The sequence below is a fragment of the Homo sapiens genome, chromosome 6 (genome assembly GCF_000001405.40).
Source record: "Homo sapiens chromosome 6, GRCh38.p14 Primary Assembly".
Classification (NCBI taxonomy): Eukaryota; Metazoa; Chordata; class Mammalia; order Primates; family Hominidae; genus Homo; species Homo sapiens.
Window position 1 is genome coordinate 157,124,384 of NC_000006.12, and position 22,642 is coordinate 157,147,025.

The following is a 22,642-nucleotide window of genomic DNA, read 5'->3' on the forward strand; positions in this document are numbered from 1 at the left end:
AGCAGTATGCTAACTGCACGGCCACAGCTAACATACGTGGTGCTTTTCATGCTTATAAAAGTGACTGCTTTCCTGGAAGGGCAAGGAATGTCATGGAAGATAGCACTAACAGAGTCATACAGAACAGGTGCACATCAGCTGTATGAAGGCAAGTGGCCTTCTAGGCACACCTGTAAAAACAGCTGGAGCAAAGGACACAGCACACCATCTTGTTTTTTAAGCTATGCCTCCCATTAGTGGATCTTTCCATGATATGTAAAATATCAGAGTGCACTGTACATAATAAGGGTCAACATTGTTCTGGAAAATGTAGAGTGTATGTGAATAGTATATGTAAGTATGTAAACATATGCACATTGGATCATGACATAAAATATGTCTCTAAAGTGTGGATTGTTGAAAAAAAAAAAAGTTTGAAAGTGGCCTCACAAATCAACCTCTGTGAGCCTCACTGTCTTTAGGTTGATTTGAAGCTGAAATGGGCTAATAATGAACAAGCTGTTAGCATATAATATATGCTCATTAAAGATCAGCTGCTCATAGGCCAGGGAATGGCACCTTACCTAGAACCTGAGAATGCAGATTTGCTGAGTGACTGGATGTGCAGGGACTTGCAGGTCTGAAGCAACCCAGGGGCTACAGGGAGCTCAGAGCCTAAGTGACAGAACCAGAATGGGAGCACCTGGTGACTGCGTGTCCAGGGTAGGGCGGCAGACTCGTGTGCTGGGCTAAGTTTGGCCTTCAGCCAGTTGAGGAGTCAAGAGACAGTGAATGGTTTTTGAATGAACACAGATATCTGCGAGATGCAGAAGGCGGTTCAGTGCCCAAGTGTAGGCACCAGCCTTGGGCACAAGCAGAAGATTTTCTTCTTAGAGGAGGAAAACCAATAAGCCTCGGGCCTGGCTGGAGATGCTCAAAGCTTAGAGGGCAGGAAGTCGTCAATGCTGGCTTTTCTTGTGGTGTGGGTGGTCATTTCTTGACAGTTGGTAGCTGGGCTACAGATGGTTTGAAGAAGTTAAAATTCTAAACCAGCCAAGTAAAAGGGTACCTCAAGTGACCTCTAGACTCAGCTGAATGCAGGAACTTTAGTTTCCAAGTCCATGCCTTGGGACATCCACTTTGGATGACACCCACTGGTTGCAGTGGAGCCTCTCAGAAGCTGTCTGGCCAGATTTGCCCGGGTCTTTCCTACACGTTGTTTAGGTCTCAGCTGAAATGTGACTTCTTCGAGGAAACCTTCCACCATCCCAGTCTAAATTGGGTCTTCCCCTGATACTCTCATAGCACCTGTGCTGCTTTTATTCTCCACGTCACACACTGACTTTGAGTTATTTGTCAGATGTCTGTGTGTCCCGCTGGAATGTTAATTCCATGAGGGTAGATGTTGCCTGTGCTTGGCTCATTCATGCCCCTGGCACCTCGTGAATGACCAAGAAATGGAAGAGAAAGGAGGTGATATTTAGTTGACTAAGATGTTACTTTTCTTGTCTCATATAAAGTTATAAGTTGCTTCGTAATTTTAGTTCATTATTTTTCCCTATTGATAGGCTTTTATTTTCTGTTCAACTAAAATTTCAGTTCCTCGAGGGCAAGGATCACATCTTTTGCTTTTTAAAAAATACTCTCTTATTCCTACCACAGTTCCGAGAATGTTAGAGTAAAATAGGTGCATGCTGGTGGAAGATTTGTGTGACATTACTGTGGATTGAGTTACCAGTTTGATAGCTCAGATAGAACCCCGCGCAGTGACTAAAGGGCTCACAGAATCACTATAAAGGCAATAGTAATGCCTTTGTATAGGGTTTTCATGGTGGTTTTCAGTTTAGCAGAGCATTTGTGCATGGATTTTTCTTATTTGACTCTCAGGGTGAATGATCTTGTAAGCCAGAGCAAGATGTGCGTTCTTCACTTTACACAAAGGAGCCTGTGGACCCACACAGCGAATGGGAGACGCAGCCTCTAAACAGATCTGCTTCCAAACAAATCCATAGGGGGTGTGTTGCTCCTACTCCACTACCTTAACTTCTCTCTAAGGATTTTTCTTTTGCTTGATTTTTTTTTCCCCTAAAGGGCAGAAAGGGTAGTCTGGTTTTAACATCAGAAGGGTATCTCTGCATTTGGAATGTGGTAGTACAAGTTCGGTGACTGTATGAGCATACAGCGCAGGACTCAAAACTAGGAAATTCCCTGATCAGAACCCTGGTGCAGATTTATGTTACGGATGAATATATTAATCATATTTTCATATGAGGTTTCGAGGAAACTTTGTTTTGTATCATGTAGATAATATCTAATTTAGTGCTTTGTCTAAAGTTTGAATTTTCCCATGTTAGATATTTACTTGGGACCCTATAATTCCATAATACATTTAGTAATTCAATATACTTTCACAATATATAGGAAATTCATTTTATATTTTCTGAATTTCCCTAAATTCAGAAAGCGTGGTACTCTAAACTCAGATGGCTTATGACTAGAAAAGGTCACACCTTTTAAAGACGCAGCTGCGTTCCCTCAGCTGTCAGGCTTGCTATTCGCAAACTCTGTTACAAGACACCATCTTAGAAGAATGTTCTGAAAAAAGCAAGATGCAATCAAACAAATATGTCACCATAAATAGGAAGAAAAGTCTTAGTTGAAATCTGATTTCTTGGGAAACATTTTAAAATGTATTTCTTTCAAAAATAAAAATATAACAAAACAAGAAAAGAACTACCTTCGAAATAAATATACTTGGAAATTGCAGACTTGATTTAGATTTCTTCCTAGGAAAGAAAAACGTTTAAACCAGAATCATAGACACCTATAGCTGGAAGTGCCCCTACAACTATTGAGCGCAGGTGAGGAAACTGAGGCCAAAAAGGTGAAGTCACTGGCTAGAATCTGCACAGCAGACGTGGAGGCCAGGATGAGATCCTCGCCCAGTGCTCTCTTGGTTACCATGCTACCTGTCCTGTACCCTTGTTTGAATCTATAATAGTGACAAGAACTGGCCGGGCATGGTGCCTCACACCTGTAATCCCAGCATTTTGGGAGGCTGAGGCAGGCGGATCACAAGATCAGGAGTTTGAGACCAGCCTGGCCAATATGGTGAAATCCCGTCTCTATTAGAAATACAAAAATTACGCCTGTAATCCCAGCACTTTGGGAGGCCGAGGTGGGCGGATCACAAGGTCAGGAGATCGAGACCATCCTGGCTAATATGGTGAAACCCGGTCTCTACTAAAAATACAAAAAAAAAAATTAGCCGGGCATGGTGGCAGGCGCCTGTAATCCCAGCTACTCAGGAGGCTGAGGCAGGAGAATCGCTTGAACTCAGGAGGTGGAAGTTGCAGTGAGCCAAGATCGCGCCACTGTGCCACTACACTCCAGCCTGGGTGACAGAGTGAGACTCTGTCTCAAAAAAAAAAAAAAAAAAAAAAACAAAAATTAGCCAGGCATGGTGGTGCACACCTGTAGTCCCAGCTATTCAGGAGGCTGAGGCAGAAGAATCACTTGAACCTGGGAGGCAGAGGTTGCAGTGAGCCAAGAGTGCTCCACTGCACTCCAGCCTAGGCGACAGAGCAAGACTTCATCTCAAAAAAAAAAAAAAAAAGCTACTGCTTGTTGAAAGCTTCCTGTGAGCCAGCCCTTTTATGCATGTTTATCTCCGTTAATCCTCACTACAACCCTATGAGGTAGATATGATTGCCCCCATTTTACAGATGAGGAAACTGCTAATAGACATGCATCGTTTCTGTATTTAGGATGAATAGAAATACTTCATTTTTAGCTAACTTCTGTCTTCTAATTTTTTATCAATTTGTTTAGGAGATTATGGCAATATTCAATAACCTTTAAAAATATCCATAATGGATTACTTTTTTAGTAGGATTAGCTAGTGTTGGCATTTAATTGTGATTTTCTATTATGTGTCATGTACCTACCTCCTAACTGGTCTTCTCACGTGTAACCTTTCTCTTCCTCTTCAATCCTTTCTTCATGATGCTTATTACAGTAGGGTTAGCTTTCAAAAATGCAACAGGCATGGTGGCCCACACCTGTAGTCCCAGCTAATTGGGAGGCTGAGGTAGGAAAATCACTTGAAGCCAGGAGTTCGAGACCAGCCTAGACAACATAGAGATACCCTGTCTCAAAAAGAAAACAAATGCAAGTCAGGTCATAACACTTCCTCTTACGGCAGTATATGGTCTATGCCATTATTACACCAACTGAAAGACCAGCTTTTCACAGGACTGCAGATACAGAGGTTTGGGTGAGCCATGCAGCAATTCATCTGTTAACAGGAGCTGTACCTGCCAGATGAAATACTTCATATTCAAGAGAGAGAGCGTGACCAATAGAAAAAGAGGCAAACGATATAAACAGACATTTATAGAAAAGGAAGTAAAGACAGCTGTTTAACATGTTCACATTTACTCTTGATAACCAAAATAAAAACACAATCACAAATTATAAAATATCTCTGAAAGAATACATTGAAAAACCATTTGCCTTTGGCCAGGGGAACTCTGGCAGAAGACAGGGATGTGAGAGGTACTTCCCATAATACACCCTTTTTAACCCTTTATAATCTGTACACAGTTACCCAAGTGCTGGAGTAATGTGGATTCCAGACATTTAAATTAAAAACATGTAGAAATAAAAACTTGTTCATCCCAGCTGGAAGCTTCATCTGAATTTATAGGCTATCCAAGTGAAAAGATATTTTTGGGAGTTTATAAACCAAACATTAACATTATAATGTCTTAACTTTTTTTGTATATCACATCACAGATTATAGGACACTTTGACATATTATCTCAGTTGATCCTCACAGGATCCGGGACTGTGGCTCAGAAAGGTTATGATTTGCTTAAAGTCACACAGCAAGCTGTATTCAATACCCACTGCAGTCCATTTATTTACATATCTGTCTCCCCTACTAGATTCAGAGCTCATGACGCAAACAAGACCACAATCTACGCCTTCCATTCCCAGTCCACTGCCGTTAGATGATGCTGGCTTAGAAAGGAGTCAGGGAAATGTGTCAGCTTCCTCTTTCATGGTCTTGGGGAACAGGGAAAGGGGTGAGTCTCACCAAAAATAGAAAACAAGATTTCAGGAAGCTCTTTTAAGTGGTGCCATTGCAAAAGTAAATAATACAAAGAAAAAAATAGCTTTCAAGTTGTAATTTCTATGTAAGGAGGTAGATTCCACACCCAGTTGAACTTTGTCCCTAAGGTATGGGAAATTGATACTGTGAAGCAGCCTCATTTGAATTCGCTTTTTAATTCTACCTCCTTTTGGAAACTCCATCTCCTTTTTGCAAATGTGATTTTATGTGAAATGCCAGTGACAATTGAGATAGTTCAAGTGGAACACTACATATGTATTTTTAAGGACTGAGTAAATAGAAAAAGAAATACCTTGCCTAGGTAAGAATTCTTAGCACTCATTTGAACAAACCTTAAGCCTATAATGAGTGTCACAGAGGCCACAAAAACTTAAGAGTATCGTATACTGCTGGGCGCAGTGGTTTACACCTGTTATCCCAGCACTGTGGGAGGCTGAGGCAGACAGATCATTTGAGGTCAGGCGTTCGAGACCAGCCTGGCCAACATGGTGAAACCCCGTCTCTACTAAAAGTACAAAAATCAGCTGGGCATGATGGCATGCACCTGTAATCCTAGCTACTCAGGAGGCTGAGGCAGGAGAATCACTTGAGGTTGGGAGGTGGAGGTTGTAGTGAGATGAGATCGTGCCACTGCACTCCAGCCTGGGTGACAGAGTAAGACTCCATCTCAAAAAAAAAAAAAGAATATAGTATATTATCAGAGCTTCCAAACCCTTTGGCATGGACACCTTCATGGTTGGAGTGAAATTTAATGCTAATTAAAGGGCCTGTGTTATTTTCCTTAACTAAGGAAGAAAAAGCAATCGTTCTTTTCAAAGAAAGTAAGGGGAGACCCACATGATCTCTATGAAATTGAAACACATTTTTTTATTAAACAGGACTCTATCTGAAACACTTGAGAATTTTATAGTAAAGCTTAGATAAATATTTCATGTAACATCTTAAGATGCAATCATTCATAGTAATTTTAGTGCTCTGATTTCTGTTTGTTTTCAGATTGAATAAGCAAATGTTTTCTATGATGGTTTATATCTGGAAGCTGCCAATTGAGCCCAATTTCATAAGGCTTATCTTTATAAATAAGTTAAATAGGATAATAAGAAATAGTTCAACTTACTTTTATTTTATGTCTATCTCTTTAAACAGAAGCAATGTTAGACTATATCTCTTTTTTTAATTGAAATGTAAACTGTGGCCACCTTTGTAAATACAATATGCCATTTAACCTCCTTAAGCCAAACTTAGATCTGGGATTATCTTACCCTCCAGCTGCCTCAGTGGATTTTCTTTCGAAGCTACTGCTTTAGGTTCTCCTGAAGCAGAAACCTGCCCGTCTCCAGCTAGAGCCTTCACCTGGTAACGTGGGCCCCTCTCCCGAACATAAAACCCTGTGTTCTGAGAGTTGTTTTTCAAACTGTCCTTTGTTAGTGTGCTAGATGGATAATGTCAGCTTTTTCTCAAATCTATCTTGATTTGGGGTCCTCTTTGTCCTAATGAGTATTTCACAGCTCCATCTATGAACTCGCTTCCATTTGCCTGGACTCCTGAGAGTGGAGGTACCTGGCCTTCCAGTGATGCATAAAGATGTGTTTTCTTTATCCATTTGAATCATCTACCCACCAAGCACCTATGTGTCGTACTCAGCACTCTGTTGGCCGCATGAAGAATTTAACATCCATTCATTTTTTTAAAAAGCAATAGTTTTGTTAACCACCACGTCCCACACGCTCTGCTAGGCACCAAGGATAGTGAACCCAGGTGTGATTCTTGCCCTCATGGAGCTAATGTTTTAGTGGGGAAGAGAGATGATAAGTGAGTCAAAATAAAATAAAGTGATTACCAGTGATTATGAAAAGTGCTATGAAGGAAGGTGAGTGGGAAAGGGCAAGGGTTGGTGTGACCTCTGATCAGGTGTCGAGGGAGGGCTGAGGGATGAGAAGGACCCAGCAGTGTGGAGAGCAGATCGTGGGCGAGCCGGGAGGAGGGAACGGGGGAGAGAGGCTTTGCTGAGGGAAGGAGCACGATGTTGTCTTCTAGGAACTCTGGGACCTGCAGTGCAGTGGAGGGGGAGAAAGCTCTAGGAAATGGGGCTGAAGGGAGAAAGGCAGCAGCCAGAGCTCACGAGGTCTCACAGACAGGGTCACGTGTGCATTTTATTCTAGCGCCAGTGGGAAGCCTTGATGATGTTTTGTTTTGTTTTGTTTTGTTTGAGATGGAATCTCACTGTATGGCCCAGGCTGGAGTGCAGGGGTGCCATCTCAGCTCACTGCAACCTCTGCCTTCTGAGTTCAAGCGATTCTCCTGCCTCAGCCTCCTGAGTAGCTGGGATTACAGGCACCTGCCACCGTGCCCGGCTAATTTTTGTATTTTTAGTAGAGACAGGGTTTCACCATCTTGGCCAGGCTGGTCTTGAACTCCTGTCCTCGTGATCCACCCACCTCGACCTCCCAGAGAGCTGGGATTACAGGCATGAGCCTCCACGCCCAGCCAGCCTTGATGAGTTTTATGCAGGGGAGAGATATGCTCTCATTTCCTTTTATATTCCTGAAAGTTATTCTGGCACCTTTGAGGAAAATGAACCAAAAGGAGCAAGACTGGGGTTAGCAAGGCTGAGTGGTCGGTGGTACAGCTGTGGTGTGGGCAGGAGAAGACACAACTGGGGCTGGCTTTGGTAGAAGTAGAAATAAGGAAGAAGTACCATGCACGATCTATGTCGGAGCGGAGTCACCAGGATGTGCTGATGGATGGATCACACTTAGAGGAAAGAAGGAAAGGGTGGCCTTGTGGGCGTCCCATGTGTCTGAGGGAGCATTTGGAGGAGTGGCAGTACCAGTTACAGAGGTAGATAAGTCTCAAGACCCAACAGGTTTGAAGGAGAAAGTCAGAGGTTCTGCTGGGGCGCAGCAGAATACAGCGCAAGCCTGCAGTTGTTGGCAGTTGACCTGTAAGGGGTAGTGCCGAGTCAGGTATTCAGAAGTCTGCAGGCTCTTTAGGAGCCAAGTTTAATGGTTACTGCTTGAGGACACCAGAGGGGAGAAAAACAGCTCTGTGCAGGGAAGAGCTGGTACCCTGGGTCTGACGAGTGGGATCTTTGACCAGAGAGCTGCATCCCACAGATTGGGCAGGGAGCAAAGGCTTGGAGCAGGCACGCACGGCATGGCCAGCCTTTCAGGGGCAGAGGGTTTGCAGTACAGCAGTCGGTCACTGTTGCTTTTTGTAGGGATTTTATCTGCAAGAGAGGTTAAGGTCATTTGCCTTTTCTCCTCCTTCTCCCCTCCCTAATTGAAGTCCACAAGCCATTGGCTTCCTGGGAATCCTCTTGGGAATTCAGGGTTAGGACCAGGGTTTCACCAGGGCACCCTCCAGACCGTCCACGCTGAACTGAGATGTCTTTAGCTATTTTTTAGGAGAATCTTATGGTACCAGCCTTCTCCCCTGCCACCTGCCACATCAGTCCATGTCCATTTTTATGTATGCAGAGATTATGAAACACCTGCATTTATATGTTTCCATTTATTTCCCACTTAGGTTTTATGGCAGGCACACAAAGAAACCCTCAGATGGCTCAGTATGGACCTCAACAGACAGGACCATCCATGTCGCCTCATCCTTCTCCTGGGGGCCAGATGCATGCTGGAATCAGTAGCTTTCAGCAGAGTAACTCAAGTGGGACTTACGGTCCACAGATGAGCCAGTATGGACCACAAGGTAAAACCAAAGCTTCTCCAAAATGCATGGCAGCAAGTTGTAGAAATTTTCTTAATGTGCTAGTCCTTCAAGATTTTAATATTGTAAACATATCGTAAGATCCATTATCTGTTACCTGACAGGTTTGTGAGGTTCATACAAGCCCACAGTACTTTAGCTGCCCATAATGATGGGAGGAATAATTACAGCCACTATTGGTGAAACATTTATGTATCAGACACTTGGGTAGGTGCTCATCATCCTTGTGTTACTAGTGAAGTAGGGGACCCCTATCTTCTGTGACGTGGTTCTAAACGTAGAGAAAAAGACACAAGCCACGTTCTCAGGTTTCTGATGTCAAACTTGGGCTTTGTTGGGTTGGATTCTGGTTTGGCCCATCCCTCTTAGTGATCACCGTCAAAACCCTGAGCTGACGGCTCAGGACGGCATTGCCCCGCACATCCCTCCCAGTTTCTCTCCGAGGTGCCGCATCAGGTCAGCAGTAGTTCTCACTTTCCCAGTCAACCCCAGTGTGACTCTTCGGAGACAGGACAAAGCCTGAAATGGTTACATGTCTTTCACAAGAGAAGATAAGGGAGGAGCAGAGAACTAGTGGAATCATGTCCAGCATGCACCATTGGCCTTCCTCCTTCCTGGAAGTGGATGTAGGTTTTGTCAGATACACACAGCATCCTTTTATCAAGGTTTTTAACCTGATGTGTGTAGGTATACATATATATATGTTTTTTCTAAGTCACTTTTAGCAATAAGACATTTGAATTTACCACCTTCCTTATATTTTGTTTATTTAAATTAGACATGAGTGGATAATTTAGAGAGAATGAGATAATCTGGCACAATTCCCAGAGTTCTCTCACTTCTGAAAATACCAGGAACATTCCAGGTGAAGATGATGAGTGCCACTGGGAAACTGTAGTAAAATGTTTACCACTTCTACAACAAAACCAGGTTTGCCTGGTGTAGCGCCTTAGTATTTCCTAGAGGCCAGGCAAATAGAAGGTGAGGCCCAGTCACCTTTTTACCTGCTGGTTCTCAGAAAATCGCATCTTTCTGATGTATAGTACTTTACAGCTTGAAAAGCGAGTTATTATCTTGTGTTCTGAAGATGTTTTTCCGAAAGATCTTAAACAGTTTCAGTGCTACCAATGGAGCATTGTTTCTTTGCCTTAGAGGGCTTTGTTATATTTACTTTCCAAATATTTCTGTTGGTAGGAAGACTATGGGGATACCCAAGAAAGCAAACGTCTGTATAGAGCCTCTCCTGCCTTTGTTCTAGGCTTGTCCTGAGAGTGAGACTTGGTGTTTTGCCCAATTCTCTTTATATCACATCATCAAGAGTTTTCCATGTTAGTAATTCCAGTAAGCGTTAGGAATTTCAGTCCCAGTTGACAGTAATGGTCTGCTTGTTCCCTGTCAGTGCCCGGTAACTATGACATGTAGCAGTTTGTTGCAGAGCAGAGGCAGGACTGTGGGTCACCCACCATCCTTACTGAACGTGGTGGGTGTCGTCAAAGCCAGGTTTCTTTAGCTGTCATGGAAAGAAGAGAGCTTAGTGGCAGTTGGAAAAACGGTTTGTAACTTGTGGTAGGCACAGAAAATGCGGGCTTTTGCTCCTAATGTAATTGGAAGCAAGATGCAGACCTTGTTCTCAGAATTGGGTGTGGCTGAAGGTCTAGGAGTTAACTCTTAAGTCCATAAGCCCTTCCTGGACTCTGAAATTTGTCTCCATACTCTCAAGTAATTCAATCTTGTAGCCTCTTTTTCTACTCATCATATGTGAAGACTGAGCCTTGGGCTATCTAGTAAGTCTTTTGTGAACAACTAAGGAAGAACTTTTGCTATAGGAATTAATAGCAGGGAAGGAAATTACTATAGAATGGATTTTTTTTTTTTTTTACTAAATCCCTGTTTTTCAGTATCATTGAATGTGAAGACTCTTAATTTAAGAGCACTAAGCCCAGGAGAGTTCTTATCCAAACTGCTGTGTCTCCTTGGAAAACTGCTTACTCTTTCTGAAGTTCTTTTTGTCTAGAAAATGAGAAAATGAGATTATATTATGTTGGCATTTGCTTCCACTTCTAATGTTCTACGAATAAAGCCTTGCTTCAGTTCCAGGACCTTTACTGTTACGGTAGCCCACTGGGTTCCTGCATCACAGTTCAGCTTTTTGTTTGAGTGTTTTAAGGCATGAACCTTGAGTGTAGGTTAATAGTAGAAACGATCTGAAATGAGAATGAATATTCCCACACTCAGCACTCTCTGGTGCCTGAAAGTTGGGCACCCCTCCCAGCACCATGCACCCTTTTCTCCTCTCCTGAGTGACACTGCCACCTTGTTCCCCTCCAAGGCATATGTGCTCCTGGGTTCCTGCATCAGCTCGGAGCGCTGTGTGCTGTGAGGGTCCTGGTACTCTCAATGTCCAAATCAAAATCATCACCTTTTCCGCCTTGGAGCCTCCTGTCCTCAGCAAACACTCAGCAACAGGAGATCACATTTGCAATGTGTTGTTGAGTTCAATAAATACTCTTCACTTTTTCTGTCTTTGTTATCCTTTTAGAAAGGGATCCTAATAAAGGGTTTTTTTTCTTTCTCCTCTTGATTAACTACTCAGATTATTAGTGACATATTCAGCTTCCTTCTTTGCATTAGAAGTGTTCATATCTCTGGAATGATTCACTCATGCAGCCACCCAAGATGTCATCAGTCTCCTTTTTCTGTTTTTGTTCTTAACTTCATGGCTTGCTTCTGGTTTTGCTTTTTTAAAGAAGTTTCAAATATTTCACAGCCGTTTTACTCATATTTTATATGAGAAGCTTTTCCAAAATTGTTAGTAATAACAACCAGCATTTATTGAACATGTTACTATGTCCTGGGTCCTATTTTCTAAGTGTTTTTTATATATTAACTCATTTAATCGTCACAGAAGTTGCTGTTATTACTCCACTTTACAGAGGAAGAAACTGAGGCACAGAACAGGTGAATAGTTTTGCCTGGATGCACAGTGACTACAATGGTCAAGCCAGGATCCAAACCCAGGCTGATTCACCCATTCTCTTAATTAACGGGAAGCCCTCTGAGGCTGTCTCTATTTTGTAAATGAGAACACCAAAGCCTTGAGAAATTTAATAATTCGGCCATGATCCCACAGCTGTTACAGTAAGTGGCTGGGCCAGGGTTCCCACCAGCAGAAACTGACTTACGAGGGGCCTCTCGCGTGGTCATTGGCGGTGTTGCTTCCCACACCTGAGCTGCACTGCCTTCTCACCGGTTCATTCATTCAGTAAGCCACTAGGGATATAAAACCAAAATGACAAATAACTTGCCTTTAAGGAGCAAGAAACAGGCATGGAAACATATATATAAAAAATTACTGGTTGGGCATGGTGGCTCAAGCCTGTAATCCCAGCACTTTGGGAGTCCGAGACGGGTGGATCACTTGAGGTCAGGAGTTCGAGACCAGCCTGGGCAACATGGTGAAACACTGCCTCTACTAAAAGTACAAAACTTAGCCGGGTGCGGTGGCACACGCCTGTGGTCCCAGCTACTTGGGAGGCTGAGGCACAAGAATCGCTTGAACCCGGGACGTGGAGGCTGCAGTGAGCCGAGATCATGCCACTGTACTCCAGCCTGGGTGACAGAGTGAGACCCTGTCTTTAAAAAAACAACAACAACAACAAAAATACTAAAGAGATTAAGAATGTTGCTCATGCCCATAATCTCAGCACTTTGAGAGGCTGAGGCAGGCCGATCGCTTGAGCCCAGGAGTTTGAGACCAGCCTGGGCAACATGGTAGAACCCCATCTCTACAAAAAGATATAAAAAAATTAGCCAGTTGTGATGGCACACACATGTAGTCCCAGCCACGCGGGAGGCTGACATCAGAGGATCACTTGAGCCCAGGAGGTTGAGGCTGCAGTGAGCTCTGATCACACCACTGCTCTACAGCCTGGGTGGCAAAGTGAGACCCTGTCGCAAAAAATAAAATAAAATAAAATTTCTATGATGTGAAGAAGGGGGAATGTTAGAAATGTATATTAGTACTATAAAATCTGAATTTTTAAATAAATGAAGCCAATATAAATGTGTAAAAATACTTAATTACAGTATATTTTATGAAATAGCACTTTGCCACCTTCAAGCAAGCACATGTAATAATAACTACCCTTGCAAAGTGTTTGCAAGGAAAGAGGACTGTGGGGACTTGCTTTAATAAGTAGAAAGGATTATGTAATTAACATGTTAATTATTAATAAGTGAGTTTGTATGGGAAAAAGAGAGCTAAAATCAATTTCATGTCCATAGCCTTTTTATTTCTTAAGGACAAAACTATCTTGTTTGTTTTTTGTGTTCTCTAGAGGAATGTCTATCACACTGACTATCCAGAAATACTTTTTGCATGTTGTTATTAGTTACAAAATATAAACACTCGGGCCTTAGTTTTGCTGTGAGTAAGTAGAGTTACCTTGGGCAAGTAACAGTAGTTCTGAGTCTAGATTGCTCCCAGGCCTCACTCACTCTGTAATAGCCTATGGGAGTCTGGGAAGGGCCACCACACACAGCCATATGGGTCGTGCTGACACCTGGGTTTATGCCTGATTTTTATTGTGTGTGTCTTAGAAAGCAGAGGACTTACAAGTAGGTGTAAATTATTTCTAAATTACTTTGGTAAAGGTGTTTTTCAGAAGGGTTTAAAGATTTTTTTTTTCACTAAAATAAATTAGATGCCATCTAGAAATTTTCCTTTTCCCTTCATTCATTATATGTGTCTCATAAGTTCAACAAAGGCAAACTTTAAATGATATTCAGTTGAAATGAATACAGTTCCAAACTACTGAATTACACAGCAATACTCTTAAATTGTGGTTCTAGAGGGGCAAGGTCTAGATGTCAAGAGTTGTGGGGCCCCTGGCTACTTGTGGGTACCTTGTAGGCCCTGCAGTCACTGAGACCCAGGATTTCAGTCTCTACTCTTCTAAGTTCAGAACCTCCATCTTTGGTTGGTTGGTTGGTTGGTTGGTTGGTTGGTTGGTTGGTTAGTTGGTTGTTGAGACAGAGTCTCACTCTGTCACCCAGGCTGGAGTGCAGTGATGCAACCTTGACTCACTGCAACCTCGAGCTCTTGGGCTAAAGGGATTCTCCCACCTCAGCCTCTCTAGTAGCTGGGACCACAGACATGCACCCCACGCCGGGCTAATTTTTTTTGTATTTTTTGTAGAGACAAGGTTTCAGCATGTTGCCCAAGCTAGTTTCAAACTCCTGGGCTCACATGATCCACCCACCTCGGCCTCCCAAAGTGCTAGGATTACAGGCATGAGAGAACCTTGGTCTTATTATTGAATTGGCTTAAATGCAGCTGCTCTTCTGCAGATGTGGGGTCTGTCTGCCACATAGATTCATTCTGTGCAGTCAAAAGACTTCCCCTGGATGGTGATGCAGATTGACAAGATCCTCTTCTCTGACGTTCCAAAGACTAGATTCTGTGCAGGTCACTCGCCCTTCAGTGTGCTCATTTTATTGTTTTCTTCAAACAGGTTGATGCACTTGATAAGGCCACAGCTTCTTCTTATCTTAACCTTGTTTTTTGGTTAAATCGACAGTGCAAAGCAAAAGGATTAATTCCTTCTTCTATACTGTTATGTTTTACTAAGGAAATATACTAAATCTGTTTTGCTAATATTAGAAAAAACAAAAATTGAATTGGATTATTTCATAGCAAAGGATAGGTGAACGTAATCAAGTCTTCTTGTGATGCCTGAATCTAGCCTTCAAGTTATAAGACGTAAGCGTGAATTTTTCTTAGACTGATAATCATCATGATTTTGATAAGATCATCACATCATGATCTTAACAAAACCTGGGAATTAGGGAGAAAAAGGAAAATATACAGTACAAATCAACTTAAAATGAAAAAAGAAAAAAATCAAGCAACTTTAATTTTGACTCTTGTGAGGCTAATTGTTTTACTGCAGTAATTAACATCAGCAGTACTTAAGAGGGGCACACCTCCTGCCCTCACCGTGTGACCGAGCGCACCACCGTACGCACCATGTCAGGTGGGCTTCATTAAGACAGCGGTGGGTGGCACCTAGAGAGGCAGGGTGTGGACATGCAGCTTCACTTGCCCTCTTAGCAAGGTACCTTTTCCCGAGGTCCATCGCTCTTCCATTTATTCGAATGTTTAAAAGGAAATTACCTGTTGACACATTTCACAAATCTGTCAGAGCTGCACCAGGCACCCTGGAGAAGGGTCCCTCCACCTGTGGTTAGCGGCAGCCGATCGGGACCCTCCCTGGCCCGCCTGCAGGGGGTGCCTTTCCCCTGCAGTCTGTGTGGGGCATGCAGTGCACAGCAGCTGAGCCTGGAGACACAGCCTCTGGAGTGTGCTTCTGATGGTTAGACGCATTCGGTTCTTACCATAGAGACTTGACTGTTCACACTGCAGTTGACTATTGGGTTGGGTTAATAGCTATATATATATATATTAAACTATATATAGAGAGAGCTATATATATAATTATTATTTTTTTTTTTTGAAGATGGAGTTTTGCTGTGTTGCCCAGGCTGGGGTGCAGTGGTGCAATCTCAGCTCACTGCAACCTCTGCCTCCTGGGTTCAAGCAATTTTCCTGCATCAGCCTCTGGGGTAGCTAGGATTACAGGCGCCCACCACCATACCCAGCTAATTTTTCATATTTTTAGTAGAGGCAGGTTTTCACCATGTTGGCCAAGCTGGCCTCAAATTCCTGACCTCAAGTGATTCACCCGCCTCAGCCTCCCAAAGTGCTGGGATTACAGGTATGAGCCACCGTGCCCAGCCTTTTTATATATTTTTTAATGTCAGTGCTTACCTTTTATACATTCTATTTAAGGAATAAATTGCGTATCTGTGCGTGATGAAAGTAAAACTAGGGATATAGTGCAATATGATGATGTAAAGATAGTTTCTCTTCACTAATTATAAAGTTATTAGAACACTTTTTGGGCCAGGTGCAGTGGCTCACGCCTGTAATCCCAGCACTTTGGGAGGCTGAGGTGGGTGGATTGCTTAAGTCTAGGAGTTTGAGACCAGCCTGGGCAACACAGTGAAACCCCATCTCTATTAAAAATACAAATATTAGCCTAATGTGGTGGCACGCGCCTGTAATCCCAGCTACTCAGGAGGCTGAGGCAGGAGAATTACTTGAACCCGGGAGGCGGAGGTTGCAGTGAGCCGAGATCACACTACTACACTCCAGCCTGGGCGACAGAGTGAGACCTTGTCTCGATAAAAATAAAAAGAACACTTTTTGCCTATTCCTTGGCTGATTTTATCTATTCATTGTCAGTTGTCCAACCATAGTTACTATATTTTTTTCCCTGCAGCAACCACATGAGACAGAGAATCTTTTATTGTACCCTTTTTATAGAGGAAGAAACTGAGCTTTGGAGTAACACGTAGCTTTCCAGAGGTCACCTGCCCAGAACCAGATGGCGAGACCCACCTCCTGGGAGGCCTTTCTTCTTCACTTGCTGCCTCGATGTCAGATGCTGGCCTCTGAGCATACCCACGTGTCCTTGGGGTCCGCCTCTGACGTTAGCCCTGGTCCGGGATCCGCTTCTGCCCCGGGAGAGGCAGCGGCCTTCCACATGGCTCCCTTCCCCTCAGCACTCTGCAGAGTCCTCCCTCCTGTGTTTCTCATCATCACTCTCGTCACCTCATGACATGTTCTTGATTTCTTTACTTGCCTGTTTCCTGCCACCAGGACATAAGCTCTTGTCTTCATTCACTGCTGAATCCCCAGCATTTAGCACAGAGCCTGGCATGTAAGAGGCCCTTAATAACTCTTTCTTAAATGAATGAATTTTGCTAAGGCAGAGTAATCCAGAGTCACTGATACTCCGTCCCCTCCTGCCTTGAAGCTTGACCAGTATTGGGTTGACCATTCGATGCCTAAGAGCAGTACCTGGTATATTATCCTTGTGGAGTGAGACTAAGGATAATTTTTGTCTGTTTCTGTGCTTCCATATTTTCTGCATTGAGCGTGCATTACTTTGTAATTAAAAAGGAAGACAATAATTGTTGTAACATAAATGGAAAAAAACTACCAAAAGTGAAACATTGAAGTGACACTGTAAGGTAAGATAATAGGTCTTTCTCCTTCTTTTACACACTTTGTGTAATATTGTAAGTTTTACATTTTAAAGAATTTTAAAATGCATATTGACCTAAGAGAAATATGGTACCTTATGTATAGTTCAGAAAACAAATTCTCTCTATTTATTCCCACAAATAGGATTTAATGCAACTTGCGGTAAGTCAGCTTTCATTTTGATGAACCTGTATTTGTGATCATCTACTTGATGCATTTCTCTGGCTGAAAGAGCAGCATTGTGTGATAGATCTAAGTAGAAAGATAGAATTGAAAGAAGCTGTATTGAAATAGAACTTTATTTTTCACAGAAAAGATCTTACTTAAATATGATAACCAGCAAATAAACACATGGAAAATCCTCAAAATTTTTTTCATTAGGGAAATGAAAACTAAAGCCACGTTGATTTCTATTACATACTGATTCGAATGGCTAATTTTTTTAAGTTGGAATATCAAGTGCTGGCAGTTAGAACTCTCACACAGTATTTGATGGGAATATATACAAAATAGTACAGCCACAGTTTGGCAGTTTCTTATAAACACGTACTTACCATACAGCCAGCAATCTAATTTCTAGGGTTTTACCAAGAAAGATGAAACATATTCCTACCACACAAAGACCTGTATACAAATTTTTAGCAGCTCTACTCGTAATTGCCAAAAACTGGAAACCATATCCAAGAATGGACTACTACTCAGCACTGAAAGGGAATGTACAGATGCATGCAACGGTGTGGATGGATGTCAAAGGCATAATGCTAAGAAGCCAGCCACGAAAGCCTATACTGTGTGACTCCATGTGACGTTGTAGAGAAATAAAATGACATGAACGGAAATCAGATCAGTGGTTGCCAGGGGGTGGCATGGGGATAAGGTTGACTTATAGAAGGGGAAGAGGGAACTTTTCCCTCCTTTCATTTCTTGTGAGAGAAATATTCTGTACCTTGATTGTGCTGTCGATTACAGGATTATAGAATTTTTTATATCTCAATATAGACATGACAAAGCCGGGCACATTGGCTCACGCCTGTAATCACAGCACTTTGGGAGGCCCGCGCGGGTATATTGTTTGAGGCCAGGTGTTTGAGACTAGCCCGGGCAACATGACAAAACCCTGTGTCTACTAAAAATACAAAAATTGCCCTAGCATGGTAGTACACACCTGTAAACCCAGCTACTTAGGAGGCTCAAGTGGGAGGATCGCTTAAACTCAGGAGGCAGAGGTTGCAGTGAGCCGGGATCACGTCACTGCACTCCAGCCTGGATGACAGAGCAAGACTCTGTCTCAAAAACAACAACAATAACAAAAACAACAACAAAAAAAACAATATTTTGTAGTAACTGTTATAAAAATGGTAAACATCACTGGCTACAAAACAAGATAAATGCATATTTAGCCCTAATTCACAACTGCCTTTATCATAGTATGTAGCTAATTATGCATTTCTTTTTTCCACAAGGGTAAGATTTCTGATTTATTGCATTCACCTCCATTTTCTCCTCCATCATATAGGGAATGACGCAGAACCTTGCCCATAGTAGTTGTTCATAACTGTTGAGTGATTGGAACTTAGAAGCAAAATTTCGTATATGAGTGGAAACATTTAGTAGTTTACAAAAAGCAGTAAGCTCTGAGTATGCATTGCAACTATCAACTTTAAATATTCTGGAGTCAGGTATAGAAATTTTTGTGATCTGCCTGAAATGATGATGGTGACTTGAATAGGGTCTAGCTTCTGCTTCCTCTCTCTGGTGCTTGAATGGAACTCCTGGTGGGTAGAAATCTGAATTCATTTGGTGACCAATTTTCCAAAGCTAGTGTGCCAAGATGAACCCACTTGAAAACTGTGGGTCCTTGGACTTGGCTGCAAGACCAGTCCAGCTGAGGTGGGCTGGCCCAGCATCTGCCGCCTTCATTGTGCTTAATGCTGGATCCATCTGTTTTCTGTCAAAGCCAGTGCCAACAAATTACTAACCTATTAGAGAAACATGGAAATAAGATTGCACTTCTCATTCCTGGCTTTTCCTCTCATATTTTGCTTGGCTTACATATTTGGTTTTTGTTTATTTTGGGAAGAAAGATACGTTATCGAGTAGTTGGGGGGGGCATGAATCATTTTTCACCCCATGCACACATTTTTAAAAGATGGGGGGGGTGATGTTAGTGATGTTGTTATGGCCATTGATGACGATGGCAGCTGTCATTTGTTAGGCAGTGCGGTGCCTGGCGCTGTACTTGTTACTTTCAACCTCTTACTCATTATCGTAGTCACTTTACAGATGACAGAACCACAGTTCAGAGAGGTTAAACCACTTGTCACGCTGCTAGGGAGTGTCAGAACCAGTATTCACACCCAGATGCTGAAGCCTGTGCTTTATCCATTGTTGCCTTTTAAACCGTTTTAAGCCTTTAGAAACTATTTTTGTCCAGGCACGTGAGTCTAATGAGGAAAGTTTCAAAGAAAAGAAAAGGGGACTTTGTATTTCTTCTATCCAATAGAGGCTTCTGTAATTAGAACATTTTTCCTTGACATGCACTTTTGAGTGCCAATTCATGGAATCAACCCAACTGATTGGAGAGAAATAGATTGGCACCCCTGGCCTAAGCGCCTTTCTAAGCACAAGTGCACACACGCGTGTCTTGGTGTGCATAGCTGTGCTCGAACGCATGCTCCCCCAGGTTGCAGATGCTTCCTGCCAGGAGACGAAGACCAGCTGCCGAACTGGGCAAAGCTATTGAAACACAGCTCCTCTCTCTTTAGTATATAACATGAGTGAGAGATGGAGGTAGGGTACAGAGTAACTTAACATCTCAGTAGTTTCTTTCCTTTGTGTTCATTAAGATACAGCCCTTGACTCCCAGTTAAACCCAGGAGGTTGGAGTGCCAGCATTTCCGCATTCCAGCTATAAGCAGAATTCTACAAACTCAGAAACCTTCTTTCTCTAATAAAACCGCATGATGGGTATAGTCTAAACGCTTGTTTTCTAAAACAAGACTAAAACGTTATTTCATTTCCTTCTAAAGCAAAGGGCACATAAGTTTTCACTGAAAAAGGTTTCTTACCAACTGAGTCACTTATCCAGTGTTAGGGGAGGGTGGAAACTAGCCCTCAAGTAATGGCATGAATATATGAATTAATTACTTGTGCATTCAAACTATGAATGAGTATATTTATTTTTAATAAAAGCAAGAGCTAAGAAGGAGCACTGTATTTCACTGATCTTATCAGATCATCTGGAAGCGAAGGGGATGTGAGCTTGGGGAGGAGGAGGAGGAGGAGTCTGAATTCCTTCTCACAGGGAAAAGTCGTGAGGACTGGGACTCTGGGTAAGCGTGGGAAGAGGAAGGGCCCAGCAGCTGGCCCCTGCTCTGTGCCCACCTACCAGGGTGCACAGAAGGTGCCTTTTCCGCCGAGACTGCGTGATGGGAAAACAGACAGGGGAGCCTATGTGTGTCCCGTGGGATGGGAGATTCAGAAGCAACTTAAGAAATTTTTGTAAAGAACTTTGAAACTGATGAACAGTGGTGTTTTTTTATTTTTTATTTTAACTTGAAAACAAAGTTTTGATGGTATCTGCAAACTTCAGCTGTGCAAAAGCAGTGCCTCTTCACGCCGAAGCAGTTTGCCTTTAAGGAGCTGCCAATAAAAAAGCTAATGGCGTGTGGCCCAGCGCACCCGAGGTGTCTGCGCTGTGCCTCTCCTGTTCCTGTTTCCTGTTCCCCTGTGTCTTCCACTTTCTTTCCCAGTTCCTCAGATCTGTTGTTGTGCTCTCTGGCATCCCCTGAAGCCTTTCTCAGCCTTCCAGGTGGTGTTCGGGACTAAGGAAGCTGCTGACTTGACCAGGTCTTACTTGCTGTTGCTAGTGTAGCAGTTTATTAGCTTGTCCCAAGACCGGTCTGTATCAGGAGTCCACAGATTGTGGCCCGCTCTGGCCCACTACCTGTTTTTGTAAATAAGGTTTTACTGGAACATCACCACTCCCATCTGTGTGTGTGGCTGCTTTGGGGGCTACAGTGGCAGGATTGAGCAATCGTGATAGAGACTGTTTGCCCCAAATGCCTGAACTATTTCCTATCTGGCCCTTGACAAAAAGCGTGCCTGCCCACATCTGCACGGACAGTGGCCCGTGCGTCGCCTGTAGGGAATAACACACGCCTCCCGGACAGCCAAATGAAAATGCACACAGTGGCTCTCACAGAGATCAGACGCGCAGTAAATGTGGAGAAGTCTGCAGAGGTCTCTTGCAGATTTGTAGGTGATAGAACTTTATATGTGTGAATTTAAGAAAGCCGGTTTTGACCATTAGGGTAACATTGTTACATAAATGTGCTTTTTCTTAAATATTTGAGAGACTGTGTAGCAGAGTGTGTCATGCTTGGACTCTAAGCTACACTCCAGGATGCCTGGGCTCAGACCTTAGTCCTCCAGTTGTGAGCCACGTGACCATGGGACATTTGTTGTTATTCACAGCCCCGTGCCTTAGGCTCCTCGTCTTCAGCATGAGGATTATAATAATGTGTACCTCCTAGGCTTGATCTGGGGATTAAGTGAGTTAACACAAAGAACTTGGAACTGAGCTTAGCACATAGTAAATGTTAAGTGTTTGCTTTTATTGCAGTTATTAATCCAATCCTACCTCTGCTGGAAATCCTTGAGAAGCTCCTCCTTATGGACAGGATAAATCTCAAACTTAGAAGCCTGGTACACAAGGCCCTGCCAGACCCAGCCTCTCCCCTCTATCCCCCCGTCAGCCACACACAGCGCCCCAGTGGCTGTCCCAAGTCAGTCTGCCCTTGCCATTAAGCCGGTGTCCCCAGCCTCTCAGCCATAAGTGCCCTTTCCCCTCTTCTGCCACAGTCCCCAGCCAACAATGAAACCCCCATCAAGTGGCACCAACAATTTTGATACTTTACATCCATTATATGGTTTAATCCTGAGAACACCTCTTCATGTGGACAGTGTTAGGATTATCTGTTTTACAGAGAAGAGAATGAAACAAGAAAAGATGCAAGCAACTCCCCTAAGGTCCTACAGGCAGGCAGTGCAGAGGCTCACCCAGCTGCAGGCTCTCCCAGCCCCTGAAGCCAGCTCCTGAGGGTTCAGCTCCAGAAGTGCTCATTCAGAGGACTCTCCACCAACCCCCACCAAGGGGACCCTCAAGCCCTCAGCCCCCATCAGACTCACTCTCCCTTCTCTCTTGCACTTTTCACATTGCATGCTTTGTTTTGCTTTTATCCTTTTTCTTGTTTTCACCCTTGCTGCTTTACTGCACACACACACACATGCATACCCATACGTGCACGTGCATGCACACACACACACATACCCATGTAGATGTGAGCTTCTCGAGTGCAAGAACTGGATTGTATTTAGCTTTACGTCACCTGTGCCTAGAACAGCTTCTGGAATGTAGTAAGTGTATAGTTATGTTACATGGATGGAGAAAGGCTTCCAAAAAATAGTAAGGACTGATTGGGAAACACTAATCCATATTCCACACACACTTGTCTTTCGCATTTATGTAATTTCAACATTCAGTTATCAGGAGGCAGCACATTTTATTGGTCAAATACATGGGTCCCCGAGCCAGTTTGCTTGAGCTTCAGTACTAATCTTCTAGCTCTTGATTTTTCTCATTTGTAAATGGAGTCCTGGGGTATCTATATTTCATGTGGTTATTGGAA

The 22,642-nt window shown here is 43.1% G+C and overlaps 1 protein-coding gene across 38 annotated transcripts in view, besides 3 other annotated features; it reads left to right on the plus strand.

The window, feature by feature from the left end:
- The window catches only part of ARID1B (AT-rich interaction domain 1B), a 434,754-nt gene that overhangs the window by 348,358 nt on the left and 63,754 nt on the right, over positions 1-22,642 (plus strand). For 27 of the 38 annotated variants that reach the window (NM_001371656.1, XM_011535984.3, XM_017011105.3 and 24 more), the window contains one exon: positions 8,645-8,824. The exons of 9 other annotated variants lie outside the window; for them this stretch is intronic. In NM_001371656.1, the coding sequence (NP_001358585.1) occupies positions 8,645-8,824 (180 nt within the window). Of the gene's footprint in view, positions 1-8,644; positions 8,825-22,642 lie in introns of those variants that run through there. 2 more of the 38 variants (XM_011535988.4, XM_047419156.1) reach the window with 1 other exon arrangement.
- Positions 9,298-9,498: a silencer, noted in NCBI's record as "peak6253 fragment used in MPRA reporter construct". NCBI's record gives its function as "represses an SCP1 promoter by STARR-seq MPRAs in K562 erythroleukemia cells {active_cell/tissue: K562}" and the evidence as "EXISTENCE:reporter gene assay evidence [ECO:0000049][PMID:32103011]".
- Positions 20,496-21,345: an enhancer, noted in NCBI's record as "H3K27ac-H3K4me1 hESC enhancer chr6:157466013-157466862 (GRCh37/hg19 assembly coordinates)". NCBI's record gives its function as "activates a minimal SCP1, AML or CMV promoter by ChIP-STARR-seq in primed H9 embryonic stem cells {active_cell/tissue: H9 hESC(primed)}" and the evidence as "EXISTENCE:reporter gene assay evidence [ECO:0000049][PMID:30033119]".
- Positions 21,346-22,194: an enhancer, noted in NCBI's record as "H3K27ac-H3K4me1 hESC enhancer chr6:157466863-157467711 (GRCh37/hg19 assembly coordinates)". NCBI's record gives its function as "activates a minimal SCP1, AML or CMV promoter by ChIP-STARR-seq in primed H9 embryonic stem cells {active_cell/tissue: H9 hESC(primed)}" and the evidence as "EXISTENCE:reporter gene assay evidence [ECO:0000049][PMID:30033119]".